Below are 16,298 nucleotides of genomic sequence, written 5' to 3'. Positions count from 1 at the left end.
GGGGTTTCCCCGTGTTAGCCAGGATGGTCTTGATCTCCTGACTTCGTGATCCGCCCGCCTCAGCCTCCCAAAGTGCTGGGATTACAGGCGTGAGCCACCGCGCCCGGCCAGTTTGGTACTTTTTAAAAGTGTCCAGTTCATCGCTGTGGGGCTGTTTCTATTCTCTGTTATTTCCATAGGTTTTTATTTACATTGTTTTCTCTCCTTTGCCTGATTGTTTCTGTGTGCTGGATACCATATTTGCAAAATTGCTCACAGACATAATTTAGCATTATCTTCCTCCCAGAAGGATTAGTGTTTACTTCTGCCTGGCAGCTGGGGACACCAGCCGTGCAAGACCACGTCAGTCCAGGATCATGACTGGGACGATGTGAGGCTGAGTGGCAGCCCCGGGAGACTCAGGGTGCAGCCCTCCCAGGATTCGGCCCAATGGGAAGGGGAACACTGGGGCCCTCGTCCTTGGCAGCCCCAGGTCCCAGTGCCCATCCCTCCGGCTGCGAGGCTGGCCAAGGCCCCACACACCCCCCAGGCAGCACTTGTCAGGGCAGCCACCAGCCCAGGAGAAAAGTGACTCCGGGGCTGCCCCAATGCCCAGACACTCTCTTTGCCCAGACCCTTGACTAGGAGGGCTGCACTCCCCTGAGACTCTCAGCACATTTGTACATTTCAGTCAGCTTTCCTGTTGACCCCGAGGAGGGCCAGAGGCACTGCCAAGTGGACACCCCCAAGGCCAGGCCCCCGTCCTTTCCTGTCTTCTTTTGGACAGACCATGTATTTTTCTAATTGTAGCTTTCACCTCTACTAGCGTGGAAGTTACATATTCTGGGTGTAGCCTTTAATGGATAAGGGATCCTGAAGTTTCTTTTACATATGCTAATTCTTATCTTTTTCTCTTTTTAAGCCCAAGACCTCTTCTTTTATAAATCCAGTTTTTGGCCTGCCCACATATTTACCATTTTCTCTGCTCTTCCTTCCTTCCCCATCTCAGATCTTCCGTCTGGAACCGCGGTCCTCCCGCTTCGTGTAGTCTTACAGCATCTCATAGTGCAGGTCTGCCCGTGGCCAGCTCTGGCCCTTTGTGTTTTAATTTTTTTTTTTTTAATTGAAGAATGACATTGTGAAGTGTGCAGATCATAGCACACCGTCTCACAAAGTGAATACATGCAGACTGGGAAACAATGCCAGCCTCCTGGAAGCCCCCTGCCTCGCTCCTTCATCCCTGCCTCCTCTCCCTCTGCAGAGAATGCCTCAGCCACTGATGATTTCATTGGTTTCTGAAAGGGGCAGACAGGATCACGCTGCATGTCTGTGTCCCACGTCACGCACACGTGCAACTCGCTGGTGTGACTGTGGGAGCCGCGAGCCCCTCCTTTATGTTGCTGCAAAGTCTTCCATGGGACGAGCAGCAACTCTGCATTGGTGATGGGTGTCTGAGGCTCTCCAGGATCAGGCTGACCATGGCTGCCAAGGCCATCCTGGCGGTGTCTCCTGAAGCCCACTTGCCGTTTCTGATGGGCACACCCAATATGGGCTGCTGCAGCTGTTGGCAGAAGGCACCGCACCGTCTTCCACCCCACCAGGGTGTGGGGAGGCCCAGTTGCTCACACCCTCCATGGTGCTGGCCTTTTACACCTTAGGGATTCTGGCGGTTTTCATTTGACCAATGAAGCTGAGCACTTTTTCACATTTACTGACCATTTGGAGGCCTTCTCTTAGGTGACTCTTCATGTCTTTGGCCTTTTTTCTTTTTTTGATAGAGGGGAAAATTCACTGTCAGATAACCCAGCAGCAATGAAGGCAGGCAGGCTTCCGAGGAGGATGAGGAAACACTGGTGTCTGCTCCTGGCAGAACAAAGTCCATAAATTGACCAATTTTATTTATTATTTATTTATTTATTTATTATTTATTTATTTATTTTTGAGACAGAGTCTCACTCTGTCACCCAGGCTGGAGTGCAGTGGTGTGATCTTGGCTGATTGCAACCTCCACCTCCCAGGTTCAAGTGATTCTCCTGCCTCAGCCTTCCAAGTGGCTGCGATTACAGGCATGCACCACCACGCTTGGCTAATTTTTATATTTTTAGTAGAAATGGTGTTTTGCCATATTGGCCAGGATGGTCTCGAACTCCTGACCTCAAGTGATCCGCCCACCTCGGCCACATTTTCTTTATCCAGTCTATCACTGATGGGCGTTTGGGTTGATTCCATGTCCTTGCTATTGTGAACAGTGCTGCAATGGACATATGGTGCATGTAAATTAGTTCAGCCATCGTGGAAGACACATGTGGCAGTTCCTCAAAGACCCAGAACCAGAAATACCATTCCACCCACCAATCCCATTACTGGGTATATACCCAAAGGAATATAAATCATTCTACTATAAACATGGCAATTTCCACAAAAATCTCTGCTTGGATTTTCATTGAAATTGCACTGAATGTACCATTTAGAGAAAATCATCATGTTTACGATACTGAGGCTTCTATTCACCAACAGGCTACATCCCTCCTTTTCTTTTGTTTTTTTTTTTTTTTAGGTTTTCTTCACTTTCCTAATATTTTATAGCTTTCTGTCCCAGACATCTTTTGTTAGATTTGTTTCTACATAGTTTAAATTTCTTAGTGTCTATAATAACATTTGTAAGTGATTATTACTGTTCGTTTCTGGAATTTAGAAATATAATCAGTTTTTTGTATGTTGGCCTTGTGGGCAGGAATCTTGTAAATTCACTTATTAACAGTTTGCTTGTGAGTTCCTTTGGATTTTCTTCACATATAACCATATCACCTGTAAATACTGACAGCTTCATTTCTGGTTTTAAAGCCTTTTAAGCTTTTTTTTTTTTTTTTTTTTTAACAGTTTCACTCTTGTCGCCCAGGCTGGAGTGCAATGGCATGATCTCAGCTCACTACAACCTCCGCCTCCCGGGTTCAAGCGATTCTCCTGCTTCAGCCTCCCGAGTAGCTGGGATTACAGGCATGCCCAGCTAATTTTGTATTTTTAGTAGAGATGGGGTTTCTCCATATCGTTCAGGCTGGTCTTGAACTCCCAACCTCAGGTGATCCACCTGCCTCAGCCTCCCAAAGTGCCGGGATTACAGGCGTGAGCCACCACACCCAGCCCTTTTAAGCCTCTTTTCTTGCCTTGGTGTGCTAGCACATCGCAGTGAGGGGCAGCCATCTCAGGGAACGGGAGAGGGGGGTGGGGGCAGCTCTCCACTTTCCACCCTTGAGTGGGCTGCTTGTTGTAGATTTCTTATAGATACCTTTGATCAAATTAAGGAAGGTCCTTTCTATTCCTGGTTTGCTAAAGGTTCCCTTAACCCATTTATGCCTGAAGTCACCTACTGCTTGGCAATGAGCTTGAGCAGTAGGATATAAAGAACTCTCACATGCTTGGCATTCCAATAATGGAACACTACGCATAGTTCATCATGAATGGGTGTTGAAGTTTACAAATTACTTTCCTGCATTTATTAAGATAACCATATAGTTTGCCTCTTTTGTTAGTGTGATGGATTACATTGACTTTTAAAATATTATACCAACCTTGCATTCCTGAGCCCAACTTGATCATGACATATCATCCCTCAATGATACTGGATCAGGGTTATTCATATTTTGTTTAGGGTTGCTTAGGATGTTCAAGACAGACACTGGCCTGGATTTTCTGTTTTTCTTTGAAACATCCTTGTCAGGGTTATGCTGCCTCATAAAACAAGATGGGAAATGAGAGTCTCGTGTTTTTCTGTTTTTGTTTTTTTTTTTTTTGTAGTTTTTTTTGGTTCTGTGGAAGACTTTTAAAAGACCGTTATTCTTTCTTAAACATTTGAAAACACATAACATTGAAATGCTGAGCCTGGAGTTTTTCTTTGTGACAAGATATAGGTAAGATTTCTGAAAGACAGGAGCTAGTAAGATGTTCTATTTCTTCTGATAGCAGTTTTTTCCTAGTAATTTGTCAATTGCATTTAACGTTTCCCACTGACTTCTGAGACAGCCTCAAGTTTTCATGTCTGAAGGGTTCGTAGATTCTGACATTGTAATTTGTCCCTGCTCTCTTTTCTCTGACTAGTGTACCAGGGCTTTCTCAAGTGTACTAATCTTCTCAAAGAATCCAATTTTAAGTCCTGGAATTCACTATGACAAACACTTCAGAAACAAGGCATAGAAAACGTTGGTAGAGATGCAAGGTACTGCAGCAAGGTGACGAGCACCTTGACCCAAGTCGTGTGAGGAATGTCATGCCCCTTGGCCGGGCATAGTGGCACATGCCTGTAATCCCAGCTACTCGGGAGGCTGAGGCGGGAGAATCGCTTGAACCCAGGAGGCAGAGGTTGCAGTGAGCCGAGATCATGCCACTGCACTCCAGCCTGGGTAACAAAAGCGAAATTCTATCTCAAAAAAAAAAAAAAAAAACAAAAAAAAAAACAAGGCCGGACGCGGTGGCTCACACCTGTTATCCCAGCACTTTGGGAGGCCGAGGCAGGCGGATCACGAGGTCAAGAGATTGAGGCCATCCTGGCCAACATGGTGAAACCCCATCTCTACTAAAAATACAAAAATTAGCTGGGCGTGGTGGTGTGTGCCTGTAATCCCAGCTACTTGGGAGGCTGAGGTAGGAGAATCACTTGAACCCGGGAGGCAGAGGTTCCAGTGAGCCAAGATCACACCACTGCATTCCAGCCTGGGCGACAAGAGTGAAACTCCGTCTCAAAAAAAAAAAAAAAATTGCACGGCCCTTCCAGCCTTTTTCTGCAGGGCAATACAGGGGCTTTAAAACAATTCACCTCCCTTCATCCATGGCCGAAGTTACACAGTAATGTTTTCCAGTATATTGTTTTTAAAGTTTCAATGAAACGATTTATGTATGTTTATTATTCTCTTTGTCCATCGCTCCATCTTACTCTAGGCACCTCCCCTGGATTCATACTCCTGCTCTTCAAGAAAAATTCCTAACAATTCCCGGTAAAGGAGGTGTCATCGGAAATGACAGCTTTTTTTTCTTTTGTGAGACAGGGTCTTGCCCTGTCACCCAGGCTGGAGTACGGTGGTATAATCATAGCTCACTTCAGCTCAACCTCTTGGGCTCAAGTGATACTCTCACTTCAGGAACTCAAGTAGCTGGGACCACAGGTGCGTGCCACCACACCCAGCTCATTGTTTTGTATTTTTTTGTAGAGATGGGGTCTCACTATATTGCCCAGTCTTGTCTCTAACTCCTGGGCTCGAGCAATCCTCCCACCTCAGCCTCCCAAAGCGCTGGGATTATAGGCGTGAGCCACCGCACCCGGCCTCAATTTTTGTTTATACATTTTTTTAAGTATCACCTAATTCTTTATTTTTGTAATTTTGAGATAATTTATATGCCAACAAATTCGCCCTTTTAAGTGAAGGATTCAGCGACTTTCAATTCCACAGCATTCTAATCACCCAAAAAGAAACCCCACGCCCATTCGCAGTCACTCCCAATCCTGCCTCACCCCAGTCCTTGGCAACCACGAACCGGTCTCTCTGCAGTTGTCTTTTCTGGACATTTCGTATCAATGGAATCAAACAGTAAGTGGTCCTCTGCACGTGGCTTCACTTGGCACAGCTCCTCTGAGTGCTGGCCGGGATGCAGCACGCATCCATGTTCTGTTCCTTCACGTGGCTGGATGACGTCCCATTCTTTGGACAGTCAGCTTTGTTTCTCCCTTCATCTGCTGATGGAAACCCAGGTTGCGTCTACCCTGTGGCTGGTATGAGCCGTGCTGCTGGGCACAGCCAGGCACAAGTGCATGTGTGAGCAGCTGTCTTCAGAGCTCCGGGGTGGATCCCCACAAGTGGAACTGCTGGGTCAATTGGTGGCATGTCACTAGCATCCTGAACAACAGGTTCACTGAAGACCCAGCCCCACACCGAGAGCTCCCTCCTCTGCACCAGTGGCTCCCCCTCCACCCAGCGGCCAGTGGGTGCCCACGCCTGCTGCCTTGCTTTCATCCCATCGCAGGCATCTGTCCTTTCTCTCTGGCTGCTGTCAAAATTATCTCTGCCTGTGATACTTGAGTGTGTCGAGGCAGAGACTGATGTTCGTTTCTCCTTGGGGTTCTATTCTACTTCCTGAATCCTTGAAATGCATCTTCCTTCTGTTCTCTCCATTCTCTCCTGGGATTCCAGTCATACACGTGTGGATTTGACTTTCTACACCCTGCCTCCCAGCTGGTCCTTTCTGTCTCCTGGAGAGTGGCCAAGCTCCGGTGACCTCCTGGGAGGCCTCGGCCCGGCTCCTTGTGGTGGCCATCTTCAGAGGCGGCCCCACCACGATGGAGACGCAGAACCCATGAGCGCCATCCCCCTTTCGAGAGCAGCTCATCCCAGACCCTCACCCCCAAGGGGACCCAGCCCAGGATCCTGACGGGGTGGAGCAGGCTGGAGCTACGACCGTCTGGATGGCAACGCGGAACTCCTCCCAGAGAAAGCCCAGAGAGGCCCCGCTCTAAGTCAGCGAACACGGCTTCACGTAGGCCCTTCCCAAGCCCCTAACGCAACTGCCACAACGGTGTAGGTGAAGCAGTCCAGGCCCGGCTGGTCACCAGGGATTCAACTGCCTCTGGCACTTCTATTTGCAGATATTATCTCTGCCTTAAAAAAATCTGTAAATAGTAGGGCCTGCCCCTGTGGCTGCAACTTTCTCTAAGGACCCCAGGACTGTGCCTTCTGGAGCTGGCAGAACTCTGTGGTTTATGAGAACAAGAAGTTCCACAGCTGTGTCCTAAACCAGGTTTCCCCTCGGCAGTGCCTACAACACGGAAACAGAACTGACTGTCCCGGGGTGCCCACACCTACTGTCTGCACAGTGGAGAGGGCAGCAGCGTGGCCTGAAGGCCAGCGAGCCCAACCCCCCAGGGACAGGCACTCTCTGGCGAACCGTCTCGCAGGAGGAAAAGCGTAAGGCTGCTGTGGTCATAAATACATTTTATTTCATTAGAAATGCATAATTACAGTGTTTAAGAGCATTTCCCCTAGAAAAGTAGGTCAGCAATACCCCATCGGAACCGAGAGCTGGCTTTGCAAACACCTGCCTCATGACACTGGACAGAGCACACAGCAAAGGGCTCCCGTCTCATGACACTGGACAGAGCACACAGCAAAGGGCTCCCGTCTCATGACACTGGACAGAGCACACAGCAAAGGGCTCCCGTCTCATGACACTGGACAGAGCACACAGCAAAGGGCTCCTGCTACTCCCCTGGGATTTTTTTTTTCAAATTTTCTTTTTTGTTATAAACACCATAGCAAATTAAAAAAAGCTGTTTAAACAGAAAAATATCATAGTTCTTGATTTCCCGCGCATATGCGACGCTCTCCGCACCGTGCCTCCCCTCGTGCTCCGACACCAACAGCAGGACTCAAACGAAAGGGGTCTCCGGCTGGGGGCGGCGGCGGCTGCTCTTTCAGTTGATAGGATGCTGTTCCCCGCGGAGGCAGCGGCCTTCAGACGCACTTCAGCAGAACACGTGCAGCCGCTGCCTGTGCCGAGGCCGTGAGAGCAGGGCGCGTGGGGGCCGGGCCGTAGGCGGAGCCGGCGAGGGGCTCCTGGTGCCATGGGCACCGCTCACTGAATCTGGATGGCCCCGTGCTCGAGCTGCATCTCCGGCTGTAGCGTGGGCTGCAGGGCTTCGGCCGTCTGCAAAAGGGAGAAAGGAGGGACTTTCTAGAAAAATACCCAGCACTGCATGGCCAGGGGGTGTCATGAACAGCCAGTGACTTTAAGGCAGAATGAGAAACACGCACACAGGAGCGCGAAGGAGCCCTGACGGCCCCAAGGCTCACCCGACTTGGTACACAACGCCTGGCTCCCAGCGGAACGACGCGCCCACGACCCTGGCGCCCAGGGAGGCTCCGGCACACCCAGGCCCCGGCCCGCCCCCGACATGGACTCCGTCACCGGGGCCGGCGCAGCAGCTGCTCCTGCCTCTCCACCCCCAACCCGCTGCCTCACTGGGAAGTAACCTGGAAGTGGAGAACATCCTGGCCCTCCCGAAGATATTTCCCTGAAGCTTCAGGTACCATTTTGCCTTCCTATAAACACTGTCCCAATGTTTCAACAAAGGATTTTCGGGGCAGCTATGATTCTTCCCTCAAAGATACAGGTTCTGGTCAACGAGTTACAGATATTAAAAGGACTTCAAGTACGAAATCACAGCTTTATCTTAAAATGAGTTAAAGGAGGTCGGGCGCAGTGGCTCATGCCTATAATCCCAGGGCTTTGGGAGGCTGAGGCAGGTGAATCACTTGAGGTCAGGAGTTCAAGCCTAGGCTGGCCAAAATGGTGAAACCTCGTCTCTACAATAAATACAAAAATTAGCCGGTGTGGCGGTGCACACCTGTAGTCCCAGCTGCTAGGGAAGCTGAGGTAGGAGAATCACTTGAACCCAAGAGGCAGAGGTTGCAGTGAGTCGAGATTGCACCAATGCACTCCAGCCTGGGCAACAGAGCCAGACTCCATCTCAAAAAAAAAAAAAAAAAAGTAAAGGAAAAACATACAGTCTTGGAATAAGTCACTCATCCTCCAGCTCAGCCACACGGAACACGCCCCAGGTGGAGGAGCCCACTCTAGGGCTGCCGTGCACACTCCCAGAAGCTTCAGCTGGAAGGCACAGGAACCACAAAGGAAGAGCCAGGAGAAGCCACGAGCCCACGGCCGAGCCCACGGGAGGAAGAGGCCTGGCAACTTCTACTCTAGTTAAGGTCCTGCTTCATTTTATTTTTTAGAGATAGGGTCTTGCTCTGTTGCCCAGGTTGGAGTGCAGTAGTGCAAGCACACCTCACGGCCGCCTCGACCTCATGGGCCCAAGTGATCCTCCCACCTCAGCCTCCCAAGTAGCTGGGACCACCAGTGCACACCACCACGCCCGGCTAAATTTTTTTGAGACGGAGTCTCACTCTGTCACCTAGGCTGGAGCACAGTGGCGCAATCTCGACTCATTGCAACCTCCGCCTCCCGGGTTCAAGCAGTTCTCCTGCCTCAGCCTCCCGAGCAGCTGGGATTACAGGCACCTGCCACCATGCCTGGCTAATTTTTGTATTTTTAGTAGAGATGGGGTTTCACCAGGTTGAGCAGGCTGGTCTCGAACTCCTGACCTCAGGTGATTGGCCTGCCTCAGCCTCCCAAAATGCTGGGATTACAGGCGTGAGCTACCGTGCCCGGCCCCAGCTAATTTTTTTACGTTTTGTAGAGATGGGGGTCTCGCTACGTTGCCCAGGCTGGTCTTGAAGTCCTGGGCTCAAGCAACGCCCCTGCCTCGGCCTCACAAAGCACTGGGATTACAGGCATGAAACACTGCACCTGGTCCAGGTTGTGCTTTTTCAAGACAAATGTCAAATGACACTCGATATACTGTTCCCTGGATGGAGGAGGGGCCTTCCAGGGTAGGATGAGGGGTCAGTATGAGGACTGTCTCCTGCGAGCCCGGCCACAGCTGGGAAGGCCTAACGGGAAGGGGTGAACCTCAGCTGGAATGGAGGAGCCACACCAGGGCCCTGGGGTGGGTGGCTGAAGGCCATGGGAGGTTGGGGTAGGGGGGCCACCGCCTGGGATGCAAAGCCCCTTCCCCCAGACAGCTGGAAAGGCAGCTGGGGACTTGGGTGGGTGGGGACAGTGGGGCACAGGTCTGGGCTGGCTGGGACTCACTTGCCCTCCAAGGACAGTGGCCAGACCTGTGTTCTGGGCAGAGGCTGGTGGAGGTGCTGCCTCTGCTACAGATGGTTCAGGGAGCCTGTGACACCCACAGGCCACCGCGCATTAAGACAAGTGTCTTCCCCTGCAAATGGCACCCCCCTACCCTCCCAACCCACTGCTCCAGGGAACAGGCCCCACTCTCCACTTTGAGGATTGGCCACCCCCACAGGCCAGCTACCTGCCTTCCCTCCTAAGGGAACCCATCTTCTCAGAGCCAGGCCCTCACAGCTGAGCCACAGGTTTTCCTAGAACGAGCTCAAGCGCGTGACCCTGCTCTGACCCATGCAAGATGCAAGACCATTCCCAAGCATGACTGGGGTGGGGGCTTCATGTGGATAAGGAGGCTCAACCAGAAACCTGTCTCTGTTGGGTGCAGTCACGCCTGCAGAGTCACCATGAAGGCCTTCGGTCACTTCCCAGTGGGGCAGAGCTAGCCTGAGGACAAGCTGAGATGGTAAGGCAGAGAGCTGGGCCCTTGGTGACAAGCTAACGCACCCTGCAGTTGTCTGGCCTCAGATGGGCAAACCCGCTCACCACCAAGTCCAACCACGCTGGGGTTTTCTGCAGGGAAAGCGGCCCCTTAAGCACGCCGTCTTCCTTGGCTGTTACGATGGATCCTAATTAAATCATTCACCTGGGGCCTGCCAGGAGGGCATGGTAACAGAGAGAGCTTACAGGAAGCTAGGGGTGTAAACACCAACCATGGGACACAGGTTTGTTCAATTCTGAAATCGGAAAATGACCAGAAACTTATAATGCAGCAGGACGCCCTCAGGCATGGCCCCCACATCTAGTTTCCTGGGCGCGGACCTCACTGCCCTCCTGCAGCGCTCCTATCTGGAACGGCACGGGGGGCTGCCACGCGTCCTCGGCAGGGGCTGAGGCAGCCACGCCTGACTGTTCTTCACGGACAGGCCAAGGTTCACACCACATAAAATAAGCGCTGCCGAACGAGTTTGCCTTCACCATCCCACCCACCCGCTCCTCACTGCCTGTGCGTTCTGCGCCCATGGCCCTCACCGTGCTTCCAGCGCATCTCCAGTGAGGTCGGCGACAATGTGGAACCAAACACCACGCAGAGTACAGGGCGCGCCTCTGCGGGGGCCACCGCGCCCATGGGCAGAGTACAGGGCGTGCCTCTGCAGGGGCCACCGTGCCCATGGGCACAGCAGGAATGCTCAGGCCAGAGGAGGGGCCAGACCTTCTACAGGACACGGGTCCTTAAACTCTGGGCCCGCAGCTGCCCCGCTGTGAAGACGTGAGCGTCAGGTGAGCACTGACATCATCACACGGCTGTCGCGGCTGAGGGACTGCAGAACCGCCCAGCCTGGCGACCTGCGCACCCTGGTGAGCGTGAGCTCTACCGAGCCCACTTCTTCAGCAAGCGCCTCCTGAGGAGGACCCCTCTCTTCCCGAGGGCTGAGGGGCACACCTGCCCTCAGCAGTGCCCGGGGAGCAGGGAAAGGCTGCTCAGACATCTAGGATTTTAATTCTAAGCACTGAAGGTGGATGGCATCAAGACACAGGTGGATCACCAGCGCTGGGTCCACAGAAAGGAGCGGAACAGACCCAAAGACAGCGGCCAGAATGTTCCAGAAGGGCTGGGCAGCAGCCAACCACCAGGCTGGAGGTAGAACAAGGACAACGTCCCCGCTGGGCACGTTCCCAAAGCAGGTGGCACGGAGGCTGCGGGGCCAAGACTGCTCCCGGATGCAGGGCCACCTTCTGCCTCCAGTGTTCAGAGCAAACAGCCCACGGCATCACGGGGCTCTTGTCTGGGCCTCGGCCACGCTGGAGATTTCGGCACGGCCTCACCCTCGGGGGCTTCTGCCTGCGAGGTATGGAGATGCTGGCCTGGGCCCGCTGGGCCATCCACAGAGCACAGCAGCCCTGCGCTTTGTTTTCGTGGACGCTAGGGCCACAGCAGCCCGAGGTACTGGCTCTGCCCCGAGCTGAGACCTTCAACGAGTGGGGCAGGGAGCTCTCCGGCTAAAGGGGCCCCCATGCTCCCCAGCCCACAGGAAAGGGCTGTGTGGAGGGAGGACAGGGCAGAGCTTCACTTCTGCCCCTGAATTTACAAACATTTCCACAAGACAGTCTCAAGAATCAGTTGGAATTTGGAACTGGGGCAGGATCTACCTTCTCACCTTCACGTTCACGGTGAGTGTGAGACGTAGAACCCTCAGATGGGCATCTGTGTCCAATCACGTGCCCTCTGCACAGGAAGAGTCACGAGAAAGCCCCGGGGCCACGTGTGCCCGGTGGCAGCGGCAGGCGGCCATGCCATCACTTCAGTGTCCCGGCGCGGGGCCCCAGACTCACCTGTGCCCCGGCCGTGTGGTCACTCACTGGCGCCAGCTGCACGTACTGAACCTGGATGTCGCTGCCCTGGAGTGGCGACCCATCCACGCCCGCCGCCGCGGGGTCCGAGGAGGCCACGGCGATCAGCTGTGCACCCTGCAGCACCTGGAGGGAGACACACGGGGGCCCGTCAGCGGCGTGGCCCACAACCCACAACCCACAACCCACATGGCTCCACAGACCGCAGACCCCAGCCCACACGTGCTGTCCCCTGAGCGGCAGGGACACGGCCTCAGGGCCACACCGAGGACTCTGCGGCACATCCTGTCTCCCCATCGCTCTCAAGTCGCATCAGATCCAGTGAGAGAGTGCCATCGAGTCTCTGCTGGATCTGCAACTCCGCCCTCAAGCACCTACAGAGCAGAAAAAAGGGAAAAAAAAAAAAGCAAGGCAGAGCTTCCACAGAAAAAGAGAGCAACAGCAAATGCCACAGAGCCTCCTGGAAAATCCCAGTGGCAACCATGAAGAGCACAAGCGCTCCCAGAGTGCCACTGAGGCCTAAAATCCAAGCCAGGACCGTGAGCGTGAGGCTGAGACCCAAACCCTCCCCATTCCCAAGGCAGAGTGACCTCAAGGGCTCAGGGAGAGCAAAGGAGCTGCTGGTGGGCACTGAGAACCCAGCAGAAGCTCGCAGGAAAGTGAGGCCCAGTTCCAAGATGGGCGGAAGTGAGTCCTGGTGGCAGAGAGCCCCGCTGGCCCTCCCGACCTTGTACCGCCTCCCAGAGTATGGAATGAGAATGGGGGACAGGCGAGGCCCCTGGGTGGGCTCTGGTGACCCCATCGCCTGTAAGCACCCAGGCCCACTTCCCACTCAATCCACTGGGCGCTCCAACATCCAGGCAGGCAGCTCCGGTGTCAAGACGGCCCAGGCAGGCGGGTGGGCAGCCCCAGCCCTGAGGGCACTTGACATGAGCCACGGGGTCTTCACTTGGGGTTGCACCCCACTACGGGAGGGCCAGGAGATGCATCCCACACCTCCACACAGAACCGCACTCTGTGCACTGAGAGTCTCACCGGTGGCCCTGGGAAGAGGAGCAGCCCGTCGCAGGGTGCCCCACCCCACGGAGCCTGGCCGCAGCATCCCCTCCGTGGGACCTGCCCTGGACAACAGCAGCACTGCACAGAGCAAACTTGGCCCCCGCAAACACACTGCAGAGACAGCGCCGGACCAGGGCTTTCACCTGCAAGTGCTTTTAAAGACTAGACTTCACCTACATGTGCTTTTAAAAATAGTTATGTTTCTAAGCAAAGTTCACCTGCAATGCTAGAAGACAAGCCTTTTAAAGATACGAAGTATAATTCACTCTACATTGAGGTTAGCAAAGTACGGCGCCCAGAGCAAACCTGCTGGCTGCTTTTGTACAGCTGTGAACTGAGAATGGCTTTTAAATGATTTTTAATGACAGAAAAAAATGCAAAAAAATATTTTGTGCCACATGACAAATCTAGGAACCTCCATCTTCAGTGAGCATCTACAGGCCTGCAGGCCCCCCACGTGCTGGCCTGTCATGACCCAAGGGCCGTGGTGAGCAGCTGTGATGAGACCAGGTGTGCCCCCCAAAGCTGAAAACCCATCCCCCCTGGTCCTTTGCAGACAAGCCTGGCAACCCTGCCAGCCACGACTTGCGAGCACACCAGCCTCGGGGACCAGCCTCGGGCGAATAGCTGAGCCATCAGAATGAACCTAAGGAGCGGTCGACCTTCTGCCTCGGGATTTTGTTGTCTCAAACAGATGCTATACAAGAAGGAATATGGCCAGAGTCAGATGTTCTGCTGGACTCTGGGGTTTCTTTACCCGACGGCCCCTACTGCAGAGGCCCTCTGAGTCCAGGTGTCAGATGCCAGCCCGACATGGTCCCAGGGATTAATTCATTGTGCAGCTGGCCCTTGAACACCACAAGGGTTAGAGGCACTGAACCCTTGTGCAGCTGAAGTCATGTACAGCCTCTGACTCCCCAAAACTTTACTAATAGCCTGTTGACCAATGGCCCTACTGATAGTGGTCAATGAGCAGGTATTTTGTGTGCTGTGTGTACCATCACCTGTATTCCTCTAATAGAGTAAGCGAGGGAAAACGTGGTATTCAGAAAGGCACAGGCGAGAGGAAATATGGCTGCTATTCATGAAGCGGAAGTGGATCTTTATTAAGCGGAAGTGGATCGTCATCCTGGCCTTCGTCCTCACCGTCCGCATGCTGACTGGGGCTGGGGGGAAGAGGAGGAACAGGAGAGGCTGGCCTTGCTGTCTCAGGGCAGCAGAGGCAGAAGAGACAGAGGAGGTGGAAGAGGAGGCAGGCACACTCAGTATAATTTTTACTGAAAAAAAAAATGCACGTATAAGTGGATCCTCATAGTTCAAACCTGTGTTGTTCAAGGGTCAACTGTAGTCTTTTCCAAGGAACAAACGTTCGTTTTTTGGTGACGGACAGAAGGAGCAGAGCGTTGTGAAGTGCGTGCATTGACATCAGAGTGCTGACAAAGGGGCTGCTGGCCCTGGGGTGCAGGTGCCATTTACAGATGAGGAACTGAGACCTGGGTGGGGTTAGGAGCAGTTTAGGGGCTGGGCTTCCATCACACAGCAGGTGGGGGCAGCGTCCATACAGGAAGCACCTGGGTCCCCGAGGCACTCTCCTGGGCCACCACCGTCCATAGCGGAGCAGCACGATTACCCTCCGGCTCCCTCCAGCCTGGGTTCTTCGAGAGGGAGCAGAGAGAGAAGGCGGGGACTCTGTGAGGGGAGGGCTCGGGCGTAGGCCTCTCAAAGTCCTTAGAAGATACAGCCTGTGGTTTTAAAGCAGAATTCTAGTTTTTGATGAGCAAATGCCTTATATTTTTTTAACAATGAATTTGTCAGTGGAAAAGAAAAAAGAAAAAGGCAGGTCAATGAGCTGAATGTCTGGCTGGCAAGAATTCCATCTTTTTGCTGACATGAAATAAACTCGGAGAGGAGTTGCTGCACCGAGGAGGAGGAGCTGCCGGCACAGCTGCCCCTTCCCATGATCTTTACAGGCCCCGAGGTCCCGCAGCGACAGCGCGCCATTCAGAACCCAGCCTGACGATGAGAACACTGAGGCTTCTGGACTGTTTCACGAGACGGGGCAAGCCCACTGGAGCGCCCTCCATCTGGGCCTGGGGCTGGAGCTGGGCTGGGTGCAGGGACAGGGGGCTGGGCTGGGCTGGGTGCAGGGGCAGGGGGCTGGGCTGGGTGCACGGACAGGGGCAGGAAAGAGAGAGCAAGTCCCTGTCAGCCGCAGAGACTCTGGCTCAGACCACAGGCTGGGGACGAGAGCGCCCAGGGAGGTGGAGCCCCTGCAGAGAGAACCTTCTTCCCAAGAAAGGAAGAGAGAGCAGACATTCCTGCCAATGTGCAAACCCACCAGTAACTTTTCAGTGATGCCTGGGAACAGACCGGGCAAGGCTGCACTTGGAAAGGGGGCTGGGGAGGAGTTCTGCACTCAGTTCCACCACGCGCCCAGGCAGTCACTCTGTCCTGGGTGGATCCGCAGCCACCCACGTTCCTGCCACAGACCCCGAGCTGGCGCCCACTGGAGGAGGCAGCCAGCACCCGCACCAGTGGGCTCTTCTGTGAGGCCCTGCACAAACTGCGTTTCCCACTCATCACAGCACAGGCACACTCCTGGCCCCGAGAAAGTTCCGGGAAAAATATCCTCAGGGGCTGTCCCAGAGGTGTCTCAGGGCTGTGAATAAAGCAAGCTGCCTGAACCAGCGTTTCTCAACTATTCCCACCAGGCCGAGGCCTTGAAAACTCCTGAACACCAGGCAATGGTCTGCGCGGTGCAGGGACTTGACTGGTAACTCCCAAGCGCCTGCCCACCTGCCTGCACTCCACGACAGCACAGGGACCCTGGCGCACGCCCAAGGTTCACGCCAACCAGGTGACCGCCAGGAAACCCAAGCCTGGGGCGAGCAGCAGAGGAGCACACGGTAAGCCCGCACCTCCTCCATCCCCAGCTCTCAGGAGCCCGTGCCACACAGCCGGAGCTCTGCAGGGGCCACAGGTGGGACGAGTGCACGACGCTTTCCACCTCGGGCACCTCTGTCGGACACCCAGCTCTGAACTACGTGTGAAAATGGAAACGAAGTGCGTGGCCACACGCAGAGCAGTGCCACTCCAAGCACCTCCTCATCACACACGTGGCGTGTCACGGACTGACGACACAAGGAGGCAGACAGTGGGGGGAGGGCGGGTCTGTT

At 53.8% G+C, this 16,298-nt stretch overlaps 1 protein-coding gene across 32 annotated transcripts in view, besides 2 other annotated features; it reads right to left on the bottom strand.

Moving 5' to 3' along the window:
- BANP (BTG3 associated nuclear protein) overlaps positions 6,940-16,298 on the bottom strand; it is a 128,081-nt gene continuing 118,722 nt past the window's right edge. For 30 of the 32 annotated variants that reach the window (NM_001384941.1, NM_001384931.1, NM_001384936.1 and 27 more), the window contains 2 exons: positions 12,046-12,189; positions 6,942-7,668 (listed from right to left, as the gene is read on the bottom strand). In NM_001384941.1, coding sequence (NP_001371870.1) covers positions 7,597-7,668; positions 12,046-12,189 — 216 coding nt within the window. In that variant the 3' untranslated portion in view covers positions 6,942-7,596. Of the gene's footprint in view, positions 7,669-12,045; positions 12,190-16,298 lie in introns of all 32 variants that reach the window. The other 2 variants (NM_001173542.1, NM_001173543.1) reach the window with 1 other exon arrangement.
- Positions 14,220-14,369: an enhancer, noted in NCBI's record as "active region_11349". NCBI's record gives its function as "activates an Ori minimal core promoter by ATAC-STARR-seq in GM12878 lymphoblastoid cells {active_cell/tissue: GM12878}" and the evidence as "EXISTENCE:reporter gene assay evidence [ECO:0000049][PMID:35858748]".
- Positions 14,470-14,529: an enhancer, noted in NCBI's record as "active region_11348". NCBI's record gives its function as "activates an Ori minimal core promoter by ATAC-STARR-seq in GM12878 lymphoblastoid cells {active_cell/tissue: GM12878}" and the evidence as "EXISTENCE:reporter gene assay evidence [ECO:0000049][PMID:35858748]".

The sequence above is a fragment of the Homo sapiens genome, chromosome 16 (genome assembly GCF_000001405.40).
Source record: "Homo sapiens chromosome 16, GRCh38.p14 Primary Assembly".
Taxonomy (NCBI): domain Eukaryota; kingdom Metazoa; phylum Chordata; class Mammalia; order Primates; family Hominidae; genus Homo; species Homo sapiens.
The sequence above is the reverse complement of the archived record's forward strand: the minus strand, read 5'-3'. Positions and strand labels throughout refer to the sequence as shown.